General features: G+C 38.1%; 1 protein-coding gene across 9 annotated transcripts in view; it reads right to left on the bottom strand.

Annotated features, from left to right (window-relative positions):
• Window positions 1-19733, bottom strand: part of RAB27B (RAB27B, member RAS oncogene family) — a 177660-nt gene that overhangs the window by 21748 nt on the left and 136179 nt on the right. For 2 of the 9 annotated variants that reach the window (XM_017025913.2, XM_017025914.2), the window contains one exon: window positions 11546-11749. The exons of 6 other annotated variants lie outside the window; for them this stretch is intronic. The gene's annotated coding sequence lies outside the window, so the exon portion shown is untranslated. Of the gene's footprint in view, window positions 1-11545; window positions 11750-18994; window positions 19152-19733 lie in introns of all 9 variants that reach the window. One more of the 9 variants, XM_024451232.2, reaches the window with a different exon arrangement.

Genomic DNA, 19733 nt, shown 5'->3' with positions numbered 1-19733 from the left:
CTCTCTCACTCTGTCTATGTCTGTCTCTGTCAACACACTCACACACACACACACACACACACACACACACACACACACACACAGGATTTGGCTCAGCTCCTCTTTTTATTATTATGTGATTTTTTTGAGTCCTAAAATCATATAGCCTCAATATTCTATTGTTGGTTGTTGGCATGGCAAATACAACACCATAAAAAAAAAGCCTTGGCAAATTTTCCTAGAACTGGGCTAAAAAAAATGATGTGGGAAGGATCAAAAGGCTGACAAGTTTAACAGTATTGTTTATTCCTGTACAATGACTGATGGTCTTGCTGGTTCTTGGTTCTGTGGATATAAAAGGGAAGAAAAGGCCAGAAGACTGCAGTGTTTCAGGAAATGCATCTCACTTAGTCTTTATCGTGGTATCACAAGCTGTACCACAAGAACCAGGAGGACTTTTAGATACAGACAAGCCCTTCATGGGAAGGCAAGGGGCTAAAAAGAGTAGGGAAAAGAACTGAAATGTATCACACCCATGAGGCTCTGTTTAATGAAGAGTCGTAAAGGTAAAAAGGAATTCAAGTAATCAGGTGGTCTAGCCCCTCAGTTTTTGGATGAGAAGTCATATACAGAGAAGGAAAATCCAAGATTATTATTATAATTTGAAATACAAATTGTGTTAGAAACAAAGTAGGAATATTTTTATTTTATATGGAAAGGGAATTTTATCCTGGATATATGCAGAAACAGAATTTCCATAGCTAGAATATCTCAAATGAAGTTGCTCATGGATTCACTCTTCCCCACTCTATCTCTCAGCTCCTGCTATTTTTGTTTAATGTAAGTTCCATTAGCACAGAAACTTGATCTCTTTTGTCTACTGCTGGATCCACAGAGCTCAGCTCAGTGGCTGCCATATAGAAGGAGCTCAATACATATTTGTTGAGTGTATAAATTTATTTAAGCTATCTGCAGCCATGCAAATGTCATGATTAATGAAATTAATCTCATGAGCCATTTGTGGAAGTGGTGTCCATCCGAGTGCAAGGACTTGGATTCTCCCTTCTTATCAATGAGGTAAGTATTTAGATTAAAGACTCACTGTATTGCTTTCCAGGTCTAGCTTCCTGAGTTCATTTTTCTTTTTTCTTTTTTTTTTTTTTTAAGGCAGAGTTTCACTCTTCTTGCCCAGGCTGGAGTGCAATGGCGCCATCTCAGCTCACCGCAACCTCCACCTCCCGAGTTAAAGCCATTCTCCTGTCTCAGCCTCCTGAGTAGCTGGGATTACAGGCATGCACCACCATGCCTGGCTAATTTTGTATTTTTGGTAGAGATGGGGTTTCTCCATTTTGTTCAGGCTGGTCTCGAACTCCCAACCTCAGGTGATCCGCCCGCCTCGGCCTCCCAAAGTGCTGGGATTACAGGCATGAGCCACTGTGCCTGGCCCCTGAGCTCATTTTTCTATCTTAAGTTGCACAAGAGTACAAAACCTTCTCAAAATAGAATATATCTTCAGAGGAATAGTTTCAAACAACATGAGAAAAGGCAAAGCACAGAGATACTGCACTTGAAAGTAAAATTTGTGCTAGCAGAGAACACATAAAGCTGTCGGTTGAATAGGTCAGGGCTCAGAGAACTGGGCTCCTCCGTATAAGCATCCATTTGCCATCTAACATACTCTCATCACCACCTCTCACTTGCATGGCATTTTGCATGGCTCTGAGGATATACTCCTTGCTCGCCAGTGGGGAGCTTGGCAAATGCTACAGTTACGTGTTGATGGCTACTCCACATTTGGAATTACCCACACAAACTTTGGTGCTCTTTGCCAGTCTACTGGATAAGTCTCAAGAATGCCTTGACAAGCTATGAACCTGTGACTTTAACGTATTAAATTAACAGAAACCAACTTAATATTTCTTTTTTTTTTTTTTTTTTTTGAGATGGAGTCTTGCTCTGTCGCCCAGGCTGGAGTGCAGTGGCCCAATCAAGGCTCACTGCAGGCTCCGCCTCCCAGGTTCATGCCATTCTCCTGCCTCAGTCTCCCAAGTAGCTGGGACTAAAGGTGCCCGCCACCACGCCCGGCCAATTTTTGGTATTTTTAGTAGAGACGGGGTTTCACCGTGTTAGTCAGGATGGTCTCGATCTCCTGACCTCGTGATCCTCCCGCCTCAGCAATTTAGTATTCTTAAGACACTTCGGAAAGCTCAAAATATTAGGCAGATAAGGTATCAGCCATATTTCTTTGCATTCCGTGTACAGAGTTTCAGTAAAATAAAGCTGTCAAGCACAAGATAAGCAGATGTTTAATATTTCCTCATTTATCTTTGTTGGATTGGGTTATGTCAGGCTTTAGTAGGTACATTTTCAGATCTGGAACTCTCACAGCAAGCACTTCACTGTCTGAATGATAGCCTCAGGGTGGTTCCCACTAATTGACTATGAAATATTCGTTCCCGTAACCACATTTATGTCCTGAAGGTTAGAATTAAACTATGGGTGGCTAAAGTACTCTAAGGACCTGCAGACTACCAAGAGAACAGAAGGCACGTTTCTGAGGGAAGGGGAAGCTTCTTTAGTGTATTTTTTTTAGCATTTTGTTCTATTAGGAAGGCAGTTAATTTTTATTTCAACTCTTCTTAAAGACTATTTAGAATTAATTGATGAGTGCCCATATGAAAGGTTTCAGATCAAATTGCAAATATAAATTAACATCAACCAAAAAATTACTTTTTCTCTAAATAACATTTTTGCCTTTGGCTTAGTTTAGTTGCATCTTTTGAAACTATATGAATATTCTTTCACTTTTTATTGTGGAAAATTTCAAACATATACTAAATTTGAGAGAATAGTATAATCGATCACTCAGCTTCTAAATTATCAATATATGGCCATTCTTCTTTCATCTGCCCTATAACTCTCCACCTACCAGATTATTTTGACGCAAATGTAAGACATCATAATGTTTTTTCATAAATAATTCAATACATATCTGTAGAACAAGATCTCTCAACCTTACCACAGTTGGCATGGTGTATATCTATACAGAAGGTTGTTAAGTTGGCTTTTTAAGAATTAGATAGGTCTGAAATCATGTGTTAATGATGTTTTAACCTATATTTCACTTACAACAAATCAAAGTATGTTTTCATATGTTTAATGGTTTTTCAATTTATTATTTTGAATTTTCTAGATGTACAATCATATCCTTCCTTAATAGAGCTTTAGGTCTTCCTCTCAAATTCTTATGCTTCTATTTGTGTTTTCTTATCCACTTTCACTGGCCAATACCTCTATTATAAAATTAAAGAGTAGCAGTGAGGATTAGACTTCTTTGTTTCTGATTTTAATTGAAAATTTTTTTAGTGTTTTCCCATTAAGCAACATGCTGGCTGCTTTTAACATGAGTAGATATTAAATTTGTCAATTGCACTTTCTTCCTCTATTGAGATGATCTTCTGATTTTTCTCCTTAGCTGGATTTTAATGGATTTCCTTATGTAGAATCATCTTTACATTTCTGAAATAAATTTTACTTGTTCATGATGTATCATTTTTAATGTGCTGTTGGGTTCTGTTTCTTATATTTTATCTAATTTTAAAAATTGGTATTCATAAGTAAAATTTGTCTTGTTTTTGAAACAATCTGTGGTTTTGACCTTTGCATTATATTAACTTCATAGAACGTAAAATGTTTCCATCATTTCTGTGCTCTGAAATAGTTCATGTATTCTTGGGATTATCTGATTTTTAAATGTTAGAAAAAAATTCTATGTAAAACCACGTTGTCCTGGTGATTTTGTCTGGGACTGTTTTCTGAATTATCTTCTGTTTTCTTCGGTAATTGGTCCATTTAATCCTGTTTTTTCTTAGGTCAGTTTTGTAAAGCTGAAATGTTATAGAATATTAACCATTTCATCTAGGAATTCAAATGTACTTATATGGAGTTGTACAAACTATTTTCATATGATTTTTAAAATTCCCTCTGTTTTGATACTTATTTCCTACTTGACATTTCTAATTCTATATATTTGAACCTATTTGTGGAAGGCTTTGGAAAACAAAGCACCAGTGTTATTTCTTCAAGAGTTTATTTTTATTAATAATATAACCTAGGTTATTAATCCTATTTTCTACCAACCATTCACTTTTCTCTTAGAATGTCCTCTTCAGCACTGCTCTATCTTCTAAATTTAATCACACCCACAATTCTGCTGTCCATGAGTTCTTGCACTTCTCCAGTTTTACTCCAGTTTCTATACACCCACTAAAAGACAAGTGCTGTGGGGTCAATTTCTAGTGAACCTTGAAAATCTGGACATGAATTTGCTAAAACCCAAATTTGCTCAAGGAACATTCTTGATGGGAACTCTGACACTTGTCAATAATGTTTTATAATCAGTGTTGGGAAAGGACTTTTCCATGATCTAAGACATTTTGCCTGAATTCAATGTGTTTTTAAATCACTGTTTACTAATATTGATACATTCAGATCAATGCTTGTCATGCATTTCCCTGCTACAAATGATTACAACTCAGCAGGACCCAAACCAGCACAAAGCTATTTTGATCCCAGATGCAGAACAATATTGACAGATACTCCTAATGGATTCCATCTGAAAACAACATGAAAGCAAAGAGCTAGTATTATCCCCAAAGCTCACATATATCCATGGATAGAAAGTGAATCCCTAATTAATATATCCTTTAAAACACTGTTTTGCAGACAAGACCCAAATCTCAGGGTTAGTTAAAACAATTTAGGCTTTTGTCTTCAGATGAGAAAATGATCAGGAGGAACAAAACAGTACTACACAAATTTGCTGTTTCAGATTCAGATAAGCCTTTGTAAGGGCTTGTGTTTATGGGCTATAAGTAATTGAGAAACATTTTTAAATGCTGATAGCCTAAAATGCCTCTTAATAAAAACAGAGAGTTTAGTTGGTGACCAGCCTCGCCAACATGGTGAAACCCCGTCTCTACTAAAAATGCAAAAATTTGCCAGGCGTGGTGGCACACGTCTGTAATCTCAGCTACTTGGGAGGCTGAGGCAGGAGAATCACTTGAACCCGGGAGGCAGAGGAGGTTGCAGTGAGTTGAGATCACGCCATTGTACTCCAGCCTGGGCAATATGACAGAAACTCCGTCTCAAAAAACAAACAAACAAACAACAACAACAACAACAACGAAACTGAGAGTTTAGAATGTCACATCCTTTTTGGAAACATAAATGATAAATGTGTGCAATGCCAAAGTGTGCCCAAGGTTATGCTGAGGGCTAGGTGTACTAGGCCTTTCTTGCATTGCTATAAAGAAATATCTGAGACTGGGTACTTTATAAAGAAAAAAGGTTTAATTCACTCACGGTTCTGCAGGCTTTACAGGAAGCATGGTGCTGGCATTTGTTTGGCTTCTGGGGAGGCCTCAGGAAGATTACAATCATAGTGGAAGGCAAAAGGGGAGCAGGTACATCATATGGCAAAAGCAGGAGCAAGCGAGATAGCTAAAGTGAGGGGGGAGGTGCCACACACTTTTAAATGACACAGCCAAGGTTCCTGACTGGACCTTAGAAGTAGAACATCACACTTTAGTAGTTCAAGCTGGTGGCCAGAATAAGAATTTAGAGGCATCTCCCCCACTTAGCATCTCTCCCACTTTTATTTTAATAAAATAAGAACTAATCTTGTATGAACACACTCACTGTCACAAAGACAGCACCAAGCCATGAGGGAACCAACCCTGTGACCCAAACACCTCCCACCAGACCTCACCTCCAGCATTGGAAAACACATTTCAACATGAGATTTGGATGGAGACAAATCTCCAAACTATATCACTAGGTGTGTGTGCAGTTCCACGGGAAGCCACCAGTTTCTTTGGTAAGTCATTTGCACTACTGAGGTTTGAGGTGGTGAGAGAGGCAGGCAAGTTCTCATTTTCTCTCATGGATTCCTACTGAATCTTGCTTCCCCCACTTCATGTCCATCTTTCTTTGCTGCCCCTGGTTCTGCTAACTTCAGGTTCATAAGACATAAAAGCACCAGGTGGCCGGGCATGGTGGCTCACGCCTGTAATCCCAGCATTTTGGGAGGCTGAGGCAGGCGAATCACGAGGTCAGGAGTTTGAGACCAGCCTGACCAACATGGTGAAACCCTGTCTCTACTAAGAATACAAAAATTAGCTGGGTCTGGTGGCACGCGCCTGTAATCCCAGCTACTCAGGAGGCTGAGGCAGAAGAATCGCTTGAACCCAAGAGGCGGAAGTTGCAGTGAGCCGAGATAGCGTCACTGCACTCCATTCTGGGCAACAGAGCGAGACTCCATCTCAGAAAAAAAAAAAAAAAAAAAAGAAAAGAAAAGAAAAGAAAGCATCAGGCTTACAAAGATATGCCCAGCCAGCTCCTACGATTGCATAAGGTCTAATCTGATTAATAATGCTATTGTTCAGTACCACTCTGCAATGGGAATAGCACAGCCAAAGTTGTTGACTGCACGTTAGTAGTAGAACACCACACCTAATTGGCTCAATCTGGTGGTCAGAGATAAGAATTTAGAGGTACCTCTCCCACTTAGCACCTCTCCCACTTTTATTTTAATAAAACACTTATTTTAACCAAAAACTCATTTTTGGTTGTTATTTTGGTTAAAATAAGTTTTTAAACTTAAACCAAAGAAAGTGGGCTCCCCACTTCCTGCTCTTTCCTTTAAAGAGACTGTTCAGGCATTTGCCCAATACTTTGGTGTGACCCACAACCTACTCCTTATATACACTAGTTGCCACGTGCTACTTGCTCTTTTTGTTCTCTGACTCTTCATTCCTGCCTTGTGTGACTTGGGGATGAAGGACTGTTTCACTGACTCATCGCACCCTCCCTGCCCAGGATCCGTACATAAAAACCTTTGAACTTGTTTCCCGTTATGGTGGTGCCTTGAATTGGTGTCTTCCATTTAAAATACGAGGAGCTGCCCCACATCGGGTTTTCTCCAGGACACCGAGGAGAAAAAATGGTTTGGCTCCCAGTGCCAGAATGATGGTCAGTCAGGCATAAACTGGCCACAGGTCAGACAAGAGCCACAAGAGTGTCTGTCAGCATAAACATTACCTGTCTGAGGGACCCCTGCCCTCTCTTCCCCTCCCCGTCACAGGTAGGACAACTAGGCATCTGGCTGTCTGCCAGGTAAAAGAAGGATCCCTGCCGGGCGCAGTGGGTCACGCCAGTAATCCCAGTACTTTGGGAGGCCGAAGCGGGCGGATCACCTGAGGCCAGGAGTTTGAGACCAGCCTGGGCAACATGGTGAAACCCCGTCTCTACTGGAAATACAGAAAAATTAGCCGGGTGTGGTGGCACATGCCTGTAATCCCAGCTACTAGGGAGGGTGAGGCAGGAGAGTCGCTTGAAACCAGGAAGCGGAGGTTGCGGTGAGAAGATATAGCGCCATTGCACTCCAGCCTGGGCTACAGAGCGAGACCCCATATTGGAGCGCAGGGCGCGGGGGGCAGGGGCGGGGAGGCGGGGAGGCGGGGAGGAGAAGGATCCCACCAGGATCCCCTGAGAGTCACACTGTAAACATTCAAGTCCAAGTCCAGCTGCTCTTCATTTCCCTTTAGGACAGTGTTGCTAGCAGGTCTGGGATTGGAACCCTAATTTAGCTGGGGGCTCTCAAAACACACTCATAGTGATTCTGTTTTTTTTTTGTTTTTGATAAAACTCTCACTGATAAAACTTTCCAGAATGTTGATAATACAGCATGAGGTATCTGTCTTTATTTTTTAAAGTTTAGAAAATTAAAGCATAGCTACTGTTACAGCTAGGATAGGGCCATGGACAGAACTGCTATTTCAAATCTGATATCCTGCATAACTTACTTCCAACCTATAAATTCCAGTTTTGAAAGACAGCCATATAATTACCATATGAAGGCATCCTGCTTATATATCCTGATAAACAGCTGAGAGGGTCTTTCAGTGAACTGGCCTATAGTTGAAGTGTTTATTGCATATTCATTTTCAGTATTTCTGTATCCACTGAAACAAAGTTATGAACATTTAACATTAGCTTATTTAACTCTAAGGTGTAGTTTTGGCATTTCCCTCCAAATTCTTCAAAAGAAGACGTGTGGATGCTAACTTGTCTTAAAATCAAATAGCAAATGGATCAAAGAACTTCTGCTTCATATCCACATACCAACCTTCAGCTCACATTGATGACAAGGAAGGGGAAAATTTGGCTCCTTGTCCAATTTACAGCTTATTAAGCCAAAAGAAGAATAACTCTTTTATGGTTGGAATAGTGCACCTTAAGAGATTACTCTTAGGTTAAAGGCCTCATGAAATCCATAAAGGGTAACTGGAAACTTCATAGATAGTTCTTTACAACATTATGGTATAGAATTTCATGGTTATTTCCCCAGACAGGTATACCTTGGCAATTCTTAGGTACCAACTAACATAGTTTCCACATAAATCTAGTAAGTTTTTATCAAACAAAGCAAATTGTAACTATGAAGAGAAAAAGGACACACACACACACACACACACACACACACACACACAAAAGGCCATTGCAGTAAAATTAACAAAAATATAAAAAATTAGGAATATTTGAGGCAACTCAAATGATAGTAGAATAATGATAAAACAGTGCCTGATGTATTTGCATGTATTTAATCATATATATATTTAATCATATATAACACATATTTAATCAGGTACTGTTCTATCATTATTCTATTATCATCTGAGTCTATTATCTTTTAGTCTAAGCACTAAACACTAATAATTAACACATTTAGTCTTTAAAACAATGCCACAACACTACACATTTAATTTAATCCCTCTCAAAATCTACTTGCCTTTTCACAAAAATCACAAGCTGATCCTAAAATTCATATGAAAATGAAAGGGACACAGAATAGCCAAAATGATCTTGACTGAAAAATAATAAAGTTGGAGGACTTATACTTTTCAATTTCAAAACTTACTGCAAAGTTACAGTAATCAAGAGAGTGTAGCACTGGCATAAGGATAGACAAATAGATCAATGGAAGACAACTGGGAATCTAGAAATAAACTCTTACATTTATGGTCAATTGTGACAAGGGTGGCAGGACAAATAAATGGGAAAAAGAATAGTCCTTTCAACAAAGAAGCTTTTATAGAAAAATTAAATTAAATGGATCATAGACCTAAATATAAGAGCTAAAACTATGAAACTCTTAGAAGAAAATATAAGAGTAAGTCTTCATAACTCTGGATTAGGTAATGATTTCTTAGACTCAAAAAAAGAAAAAAAAATAAAAACTTTTGTGCTTCAATAGACACCATGAAAAAAAGGAAAATACAACCCCTAGGCTGGGTGAAAATACCTGCAAATCATATATCTGATAAGGAACTTATATCCAGACTACATAAAGAACTCTTATAGCTTGATAAAAAGACAAATAACCAAACTTTAAAAATGAGCAAAGGCTTTGAAGAGATATCTTCTCAAAGACTACATATAAATGGTACGTGAAAAGAAGACAAAACAGCATTAGTTATTAGAAAAGTATGGGTCAAAACTGCAATGAGATACCACTTTACACCCAGAAGGATGGGTATAAAGAGATGGACAGTAACAAGTGTTGGTGAGGATGTGGAAAGTTGCAACCCTCCTATATTGCTGGTGGGAATGTAAATGGAGCAGCCACTTTGGAAAACAGTTTGGCAATTCTCCAAAACTTTAAACATAGATTTAATGCATGATCCAATAATTCCACTTCTGGGTCTAGACACAAAAGAAATGAAAACATATATTCACTCAAAGATTTGTACATGAATGCTCATAGCAGCATTATTCATAATAGCCCCAAATTATAAACAAACCAAATGTCCATCCACTGAATGTGTAAACAAAATGTGGCATGTATGTACAATTCAATGTTATTCTTCACAGAAAGGAATGAAGTGCTTATACATACAACAATATGGATAAACCTTGAAAACATTATGTTAAAGTAACAAAATCAGATGCAAAAGGCCAAATTTTTTATGATTCTACTTATATGAAATACCCAGAATAGATAAATCCATATAGACATAGTGTATAGGCGCTTTTGCCAGCGGCTGGTGAGAGGAGGATTGGGGAATGACTGCCAATGTATACGGGTTTCTGTGGGGAAGGGTGAACGTGTTCTGGATTTAAATAGTAATGGTGGCACAACTTTGTGCATATTCTAAAAAAACACTGAACTGTACTCTTTAAAAGGGTAGATTTTATGATACATGAATTATATTTCAATAAAGCTGTTATTAAAAACCCCAACAAGATAAGAATATTATATTTTCTCTTACAATAATTATTCAGGCCTACCTCCACAATGCTTGTTTGCATTGCAGTAACTTACTAGTAAGTATCATGCATATTCAAACAATAATACCCTCCTGAAACCAAATGGAAATTGCCTATAGAATACATTTTATCTATAGGCCATAAAATACATTTCTATCAAAAATTAGAAAAGAATATTTGAGACAATTCAAATGATAATAGAAAATGATACAATAGGGCCTGATATAGTTGTATATATTCAATCATATGTACCTTTAATAATCTATGTATTTAATCACATATATACTTAATCAGGTACTGTTTTATCATTATTCTATTATCATCTGAGTCTATTATCATTTAGTCTAAGCACTAAATACTAATGATTAACACATTTAATCTTTAAAACAATGCCACAACACTACACATTCAACTTATTCCTCCTCAAAATCTGGTTGCCTTTTTGCAAAAATCACTAGCTGATCTTAAAAACTCTATGGAAATGAAAGGGACACAGAATAGCCAAAACAATCTTGACTAAAAAATAATTCTCAGAAATAATTTCTCACAAATAAAGTAATTTATGATTTATAGAAATGTTTGTTATTTGACAAAGTTCCAACAGCCAATCTTCTGTGCACATGTGCTCACAGATCAGGACTGAGTAATTGAAAATCATTGAGAAACAGCAGCGCAGGTTGGTGATCCAGGCACCGCCAAGCAATCCTGGATCAGAACTGGAGTGTGTATATAATCCAGTGGGTCCCACACTGGGGATCATCAGTATTCCCTGTGAAGTTTACAAATACCAACTCGAGGGACTCTCTGGATAAGCTGAAACAGAGTGTCTTCAGGCAGGTAGGTCTTGGACAAGCGGAAGCTTAAGTATTCCAGTAGGAATCAGCAGAAGAGCAGCCAGGTCTGAAAACCATTTTTCTCCATCCTCATCCACTATTCCAGAATCTCGAGACTCTGTAAACCCCTTCAGCACCCAATTCCAGTGTAGAAAACCCATTGGTCAAGAAAGGAGCCCATTTATCTATTAATAATTTGATGCTGTGGCAGTTAAGAGTGATTTCTCCTTACTGATGGCTGTCAGCAAAGCTTGGCACATAGCTTGCGGATTTCTCCTTCTGCTGAAAACTGTTATAAATGTCCTTAATATGCTTTCCCCACTACATTCGATTTTGTTCCCTCACACATTCTAAATTTCCCTGAAAATTAGAAGTAGCCCCCAAAATATTATAATTTTACTCACTCAAAACAGATGCGCTGAGATGTTATATAAATGTTTGGATTAAATAAACTCACTTCAAGAATTTTTGGAAAGATTTATCATTTGATTTCAAAAATTTTTCTGCTTGTCTTCTTAAGTTGGTGCATGACTCAATTTTTCTAAGGCAGTCATGCTTTTTTTTTTTTCTTTAAATGCTTTCCTAGATCCTTTCTGCCAGGACTCCAGCTAGGGAACAAGAAAAATAAATGTAAATTGCTTGAAATTCTGTAAAGCTGTATATTGAAAGAATCTTTCACATATGTCTCTTCTAAGACTGAAAACACTTGTGATGCGATGAAGCAGAACCAATGTCCATTGAGCAGACTAGGAAATACACACAAAGAGGCCAATGCCTTCCTTGAGATCAGTCACCAAGACAGGAAAATGGGTTTTCCTAACTCAGTGGTTCTCAAACTTGGCTGCTTTAAAAACTCCCCAGTGCCCAGGCCATACACCAATTTAAGTATTGTAAATCTGAATTCTGATATGACAAAAGCATGTGTACCTTTTAACACTCTCCCTAATGATTCCAACATGTAGCCAGGGTTAAGAAGCACTGCCCTACCTCTTAGCCCAGAAACTCCTCACTGCCAATGAATGATTCCTAAGTCTCACTCTACAGCTACTAGAAGAGTAGACCACACTCATAAAGACATATCTTTTCCTAAGACAGTGCTTAGTTAGGAAGATGATTCCTTTCCCACCATAGGCGCCTGATTCAATGGGCTAAACAGCACCAGTCACAGCACGATTCATTGCCCTTATCATGAAAATGATATGCCACCCTCAGTGAAGCAGATAATCCATCCCTTTTCTCTGTAGAGTTATGTGATATATGAAAGGATATTAAATGTATATATGCAAATTGAAGTTTCTACTCCTAAACAATGTCTCCATAAAGAAAAAGATTTGGTTTTAAATTAAAGATATGGCTTGTTTAATAAAATGATTTACTAAGTTTTCTGACATTGGCCTATTACTTGCAAATTGGGTTCATTTTCTAGCTGGCTGCTGCTTTGAGGAAGTCGTGCCAAAGTTCCACTGCTTTGCTTTATTATCTGAGAAAGGGCAAACTAATCAAAATATCTGCCCACAAGTTCTGCCTCCCTGAGATGTGGGGAAGTTGAATTAGATAGCATCTATGGGTTCATAGGCAAATATCTATGAAAATAAGATGTGTCATTTTATTAAAAATTTCTCACTTAAATATAATTCTAGATAACTCACAGAGCCATGTGATTCCAAGGAAAAGCCAAGATCTCTTTAGAAAAAGAATGTTGGCTATTCATTGTTTTAGCGGATATTTTACAAGAAGCATTTTATGAATTTAATAAATACTGGAAAATGGAGATTATATCTACAGAGCATGGAATTAGTCCAAAGAAGGTGCTTGTTTGTTTCACCAGGCTCTTTCTACCCTACATAGATGCCTATAGAAATAAAAATCTCTGACTTGGAACTTTCCTTCTGTGATGTGCATGATTTGAAGCTGAACAGAAAATAAGGAAGGCAATTACATATGATTCTTAACTCTTATGTTATTGGGGAAAATGTTTCTTCATCCGCTAACTTATTTGGAATGAGTTCTACCTCAGAAAATCTAGGGCTGTAAATCTGACAGAGGAGTTCAGAGGAGAGAGGAAAAACTCATAAAGGGATGTTTGGTGGGGTGGGCAGAAATAATCAGGAGGGCTTCATGGAGGAGATGAGATGAAAGCTGGAGTTTGATAGGGAAAGGAGAGAGGGAGAGCTGGAATGAGGAGAGTGGTGGTTCTGGAGGTAGAATGTGCACGAGTGTCATTGGTTACAGGAGATTCGGCTTAGATGGAAGCAGAAGCTTTAGGGGGCCGTGGCAGATGAGGTGGGATCCAAAGGATCATTGTTGTCAATGGTATCATGGAAAGAGGCAGGCATTGGAATCCACAGCCCTGAGTTCAGAAGCTCAATTTTAGCCATTTACCAACTACAGGAAAAAGTACTTAACCCTTGATTCTTAGGATGTTTATCTGCAGTCGCGAGTATGTAACATACCTGGCTCCCTGCCTTGAAGAGGAATTCACCATGAATTCCTCTCTACTCTTGATATGCCAAATAATAGGGAGCCACAAAACCCTTTTGACAAGTACCCAATGTAACAAAAACACAAAACAATTAATCAATTATTATAGGCTACTTACTAGCCTAATTGAAGTCACCAACTTCATCAGAACAAAGGTGGTATAGAAATCCCAAGGGAAAGGCATGGCTGAGTTTTTAAAATCTGGTTTTACTTCTACTTCACAAAGCCCTAGATTATTTCACTAGATGATTTCAGCCACTTCATCCCCTACTGGAGCTCTGATTAAAAATACAATATGTCAACAATGGCTAATTACAGCTTTAATGAGTCTATTGTTTACTTCTTGGCAGTAACCTAATCGATTGACCACGTTTCAAACTCACCTAGTGTTTTCCGATATAAAACATTTATAATTTTGTCTTTGTCGAGTTTCACTCCCCAGCTGTTACTAGTGAGAAAAGTCATCATTAGCACAAAGACATTTACAGCTATGACCACCTTTCCTGCTGTTTGGTGCATTTTAAAGTTTAATCAGAACAGAGCAGAAGGCAGATTCTTGGTGCCTCATTCAGAGCCTGCTAAGGTTCTGACAACAGAGAGTGCCATTCCCAATTCTACAATATTCTTTAGCTTTCGAATAGGTGATTTTTTTTTTTTTTTGGTTAATTGAAATTTTTGGCTGATAAAAGTTATGAAATATTTGAAAGTGGATGGTTTGATGAAATTACACTTATAAAAAGGTTGCTACTTAGAATTTTGCATTATACTTTTGCTCAACTTTTCATTAAGTTGGGACAGGGACCTTCATATGGAAACATATCCTGTTGACTACTCATATTCACAGTGACTGTTCTTCCTGAAAAAGAATCACAAATTCAGCAATAAAGTAAAATAAACATCAAGAATTGTAGTTCTTACACATTAAGATTTGTTATAAGACAGTTGTTATGAAATAGCTTTGCCTGTATTTTCCAGATTTGATCTACAAGGAGTTTGTGGCACTCGGAAAGGACACAGACTGGGGTATGTTACATCTCATCTCTGCAAAGTCACTGCCCTGAAGCCTACTCCTGGCCAGGAAAAAATATGGCAATTTCCATTAAAAAGTGACGTGTTAGTTTCTCATATTTTTGAACAAAAAGACACATATAACTTACTACATTAAGTCAAACACTAAAAGGTAAATGTTAACATTTTAGTGGAAAAAAGATCACAAAAAGCTGTCATTCACAAAGAATAGATTTGCCGTATCTGACACTTCCAGTTTATTGACGGTCCAGTCTCAAATTCTTGAGAATCATTCTACTCCTCCAGTGTCAAAGAATGCTCTTCCTAACTCGTTTCTGCTAATTTTTAAAAAGGAAAATCCAAATCCAAATTTTATTTTATAAGTTTCCAATAACCTAAACTGCAAGCAGTGGAGCAGAGAGAAGGGGATTTTTAATAGCTAAACTCAAGAGTTTTCCTGGCTGGGCACAGTGGCTCACGCCTGTAATCCCACCACTTTAGGAGGGATCACGAGGTCAGGAGATCGAGACCATCCTGGCTAACACGGTGAAACCCGTCTCTACTAAAAATATATAAAAAAAGAAAAAATTAGCCGGGCGTACTGGCAGGCACCTGTAGTCCCAGCTACTCGGGAGGCTGAGCAGGAGAATGGCGTGAACACGGGAGGTGGAGCTTGCAGTGAGCCGAGATCGCACCACTGCACTCCAGCCTGGGAGACAGAGCGAGACTCCGTCTCAAAAAAAAAAAAAAAAAAAAAAAAACAGTTTTCCTGCTGGAAGCTGAGCCCATTTTGGTAGGTGTTATTCTTACAACAAAAGGCATAATTATGAAAACTAAATGCTTACATATTAAATTTCAAGCATATAAATTCTAACGCATAGGATAACAAAATAGAAATGCTTCACATTTGCTCTATGAATACATTAAATTGAATATATCATTGTATGTGACTATGAGAGAGTTTATATTTTAGGAGAATGTTAGCACTGTCCTTCTCTGATAATATTACTCGGTAGTTAATCAACTAGTTCATATTTACACGATGACGAATACAGGCTAATATAAGGTCCATTAGCTTCCTCCTAATCAAGCAAAGGTTGGGACTATGATGTTGTAAACTTTAAAATCTTCCAACATCATCTGAAAGAGCTGATTTTCCCTGGGATCTAAAATGGAAACTAGTTTTATAAATCTAACTAAAGAGAAGATGCTCTTGTTGAATATCCTTTATCTCATGGTATATAGGTTTATATTTTCTTAAGCAATCTAAATAGGATAAAATAGGAGGAATGAGTATAAGGATGCAAGCTGCAACATTTTTTTCTGAAGCATAACTGCATTTACTGGGCTATATCAGGTTTATGGATTATAGAGGATGAGCAGGGTCATAATGAGAGCATGTGCACATTGCGTCTGCATGCCTGCCCACATGTGCACACATGAATGCACACACATGAACACGTGAGCATACACAATATACACAGTCACATCAAGCATGCACCCATCATTAAGCTCGTGCATGCACATCTTCTATTTATATGCCAGGCTTCTATTTAACCTGATCATGTCAGAAGATATGCCTATTTTGAATGTTTATGGAGTAAGCCAGAAATATATAGAATTTACAATACAAATTGTATAAATCATACAAATTTGAAATTTTTTAATATTCATAATTCAAAGTAGGAGAGTGAGATGCTCTTTTTTATTGATAATTTGATGAAAGTTATCCAACATGCAAAAGCTACTGTACCTCTAAAGGGTGTGGTGAATATGATGGAAATGATTCGTAGGTCTCTTTACCTGGAAGTAAGGTGGAATTATTTCCCGGATGGGCAGAAGAGAACAGAGGAGAGAGTTTTTTGTAAAAGGTGTGAGTGGGTAGGTAAGACAGCACATACCATTAGACTTGTTAAATGAATTCTGACAGAGTACCCAGGTGGAGACCTTATGAGGTTGGGCATTAAATGTGGAACAGGATGCTTCAAAAAGAAAGATCAAAAAGTTTCCTGGGAACTGTATATCGTTAATGGTCTCTCTGGTTCCTGACTTTGATAAAAATGAGTACAGCAAACACATTTATGAAACCTTTGCATGTAGATCCCTAAACCCAAGAGAGGGAAGAAAATGAAGGAAGAAAATGGAAATGCATGTACAGTAGTTTAAAAACATTTGAAAAGCAACAATTATGACATCTTAGGTAAGAAATTAAAGAAAGAGTGTGGGTTTTATCATTGGAATTAGAGTTCACAATATGCTTGTAGCATAGTTTCTTTTACGAAACAAAGATACTAATCTTCCCCCAGATTAACTGATTTACTCATTAACTCACCCAGCAAACATTTATCAGGTGCTAATATGCATTGGGCACAGAGTTTATTGTGAAGATTACATGAAACATCCTAAAAGGCTCCACAGCTCTCTCTCCAGCAAGACCACTGTAACAGCTGAAATGGCCACATGCCCTGGTCTGCTCAGCACAGGCCCAGTTGACATTCCCTGTTCTGTTAGTGGCACCCACTTTCACTCTCTGAAAGGCCCTGCTTTGGATAAACTGCATGGTCACTGCAACTAATAAGAGCCTCCTAACTTGTCTCCATGCTCCCAGTTTTGCCCCATCCATTCTCCACATAACAAGCAGAATTATCTTTTAAAAATCTAAGTCAGACCACATTACTGTTCTGCTTAATATTTTCCAGTGGCTTCCTATCAAACTGAAAATAGAACCTAAAGCCACTTGTCTGGCTTACGAAATGTTGCATGATCTGGCTCTGGCTAGTTCTCTACTAATACTCTTTGCCCTCTTTGTTATATTCCTTGAAGGAACCAAGTTTCACCCTGCCCCAGGGCCTTTGCACTGCAGTTCTCTCTACCTGAATTTTTCCTCCTCCCCGACTTTCATAAGCTGACTTCTAATTGTCATTCAGTTCTCAGCTGAAATTTTTCTTCTACAGAGAGATCTTGCAGAACCCTGAATCTAAAGAAGGCTCCCATTCATTTTCTGTGGGTTCCCCATATTTTAATTCTTTTTTATAGCCTTTCTCCCCAGCTGACGTCTGTCTTCTTGTTCATTATCACTTGCTTTTCCCACTAGGGTGCAAGCTCTAGGAAGGCAGAAGCTTTGCACGTCTTGTGTTTACTTTAGGGTCTAGCTCAAAATAAGTGTTCAACAAATGTTGCTGACAACACTAATATATGCCCTGTTGGATCTAATTCAGTGTGGTTGTATAATAAAGATGACTGGTCTTGGAGAACTTCAGGGTGTACATATTAGAAAACTGAATACTGCACTTTATATAAGAAAAAGCATCTTTACTCAAAGGTACCTTGTATGTTGAATCTAAAGAAGAACCCAGTCTAAAACTCACAAATATAAAGCTATAGAATTAAGGGACCCTGATGAATGAGTATATACTTTTCAATAGTATACTGAACCCTATCAATAGCTGCATTTAAGACAGTAAATTACTGAACACCTACTTTTGCTTCTGTGGTTTTCAGAACCATGCTCAGCAAAAATATGTGTTGGGGATTTTAATGAGGTACTGGAACGGGTCTTATTTAGGTGCTCAAGGGTAAGACTACTGAAGAGGGAACTCCACTCAAGAGAATCATTGGCTCAAATGCTTACTTCTATCTTGTATCCAAGGCTGCTAATGGAGCAACAGAACACCTTGGACACCACCCTTTGATGATATATATTATATAATACAAATAATTTGTACTTTAAATGAAGGCAAGAATCATGTTAAATCAGGGGTCCCCAACCCTCATGCCATGGACCCTTGGCATGGTCCCATTGGTCAGTGGCCTGTTAGGAACTGGGCTGCACAGCAGGAGGTGAGCAGCCAGTGAGGAAGCAAAGCTTCATCTGTATTTACATCTGCTCCCCATGGCTCAAATTACCGTCTGAGCTCCACCTCCTGTCAGATCAGCAGCAGCATTAGATTCTCACAGGAGCATGAATTCTATTGTGAACTGCACATGCAAGGGATCTGGGTTGCACGCTTCTTATGAGAATCTAATGCCTGATGATCTGTCACTGTCTCCCATCACCCCCAGATGGGACAGTCCAGTTGCGGGAAAACAAGCTCAGGGCTCCCACTGATTCTACATTATAGTGAGTTGTACAATTATTTCATTATATATTACAAGGTAATAATAATAAAAATAAGGTGTACAACAAATGTAATGCATTTGAATCATCCCGAAACCATCCCCCAATCCCAGTCTGTGAAAAAATAGTCATGAAACCCGTCCCTGGTGTCAAAAGTTTGGGGACCACTGTTTTAAATGGATAAATATGGCTAGTGTTTCAGGAAAATTCAAGAGAACATTATCATTAAAGGATATAAATAACTCACATTATATGTAAACTAAAGGATGAAGCTTGTGTGGTACCATTAATTTTATTTGGACTTGATTCTTCAGCAGCTGATGAATTAATCGTTCTGTAAGGGACTGGACTCTGAAAGTAGGTCTGCTTGCGGACAAATTTCAGCTATGTTGAGTTCTCAGAACCTGTATTATAGAGATCTAAATGGTGGGTTAGGAAATTTCACACTTAATTATTTTTTTAATCTCTACATGTTTTTAAAATAAAGGTTATGTTTAATCTCATTACTCCCACAACCACCTAAACTAAGCCTTTCATTGATTTGCAGAGTAGCTGGTAAAAAGAGGCACAACATATTTGTTGAATGGTTAACGGAAAAGACACAAAGAAAGAGTTGGAATGGGACATATTTCTACCAATGAAAATCCTAAATGGGAAAGTGGAGAACTAGAAGCTTACTAGAATAAAGTCAATAGGAACACGGAGAGACACTTAAGAACGAAAAAGTGTGTATGTGGATGGGTGGGAGGATCTGAAGTCAAGCCCCTGTCTTCCCTTTCTGACAATTTTGTTCCTGGCTGACTCTAAAGATATTGTAACAATTTCTAAATATCTGTATTTTAACTGGTCTCAGCCCACGTTTGTTGAACTCTTGAGATTCTAAAGACGAATGTAAATAATTAACCTGGAAGAAACCTCTCTGCCCCTTACCGGTGGCATTTAATTGAATATACAATAATCTGTACTTTCACTAATCCCTAAAACTA

Source organism: Homo sapiens, chromosome 18 (assembly GCF_000001405.40).
Source record: "Homo sapiens chromosome 18, GRCh38.p14 Primary Assembly".
In the NCBI taxonomy this organism is placed as follows: domain Eukaryota; kingdom Metazoa; phylum Chordata; class Mammalia; order Primates; family Hominidae; genus Homo; species Homo sapiens.
This window is presented reverse-complemented; position numbering and strand designations above follow the sequence as displayed.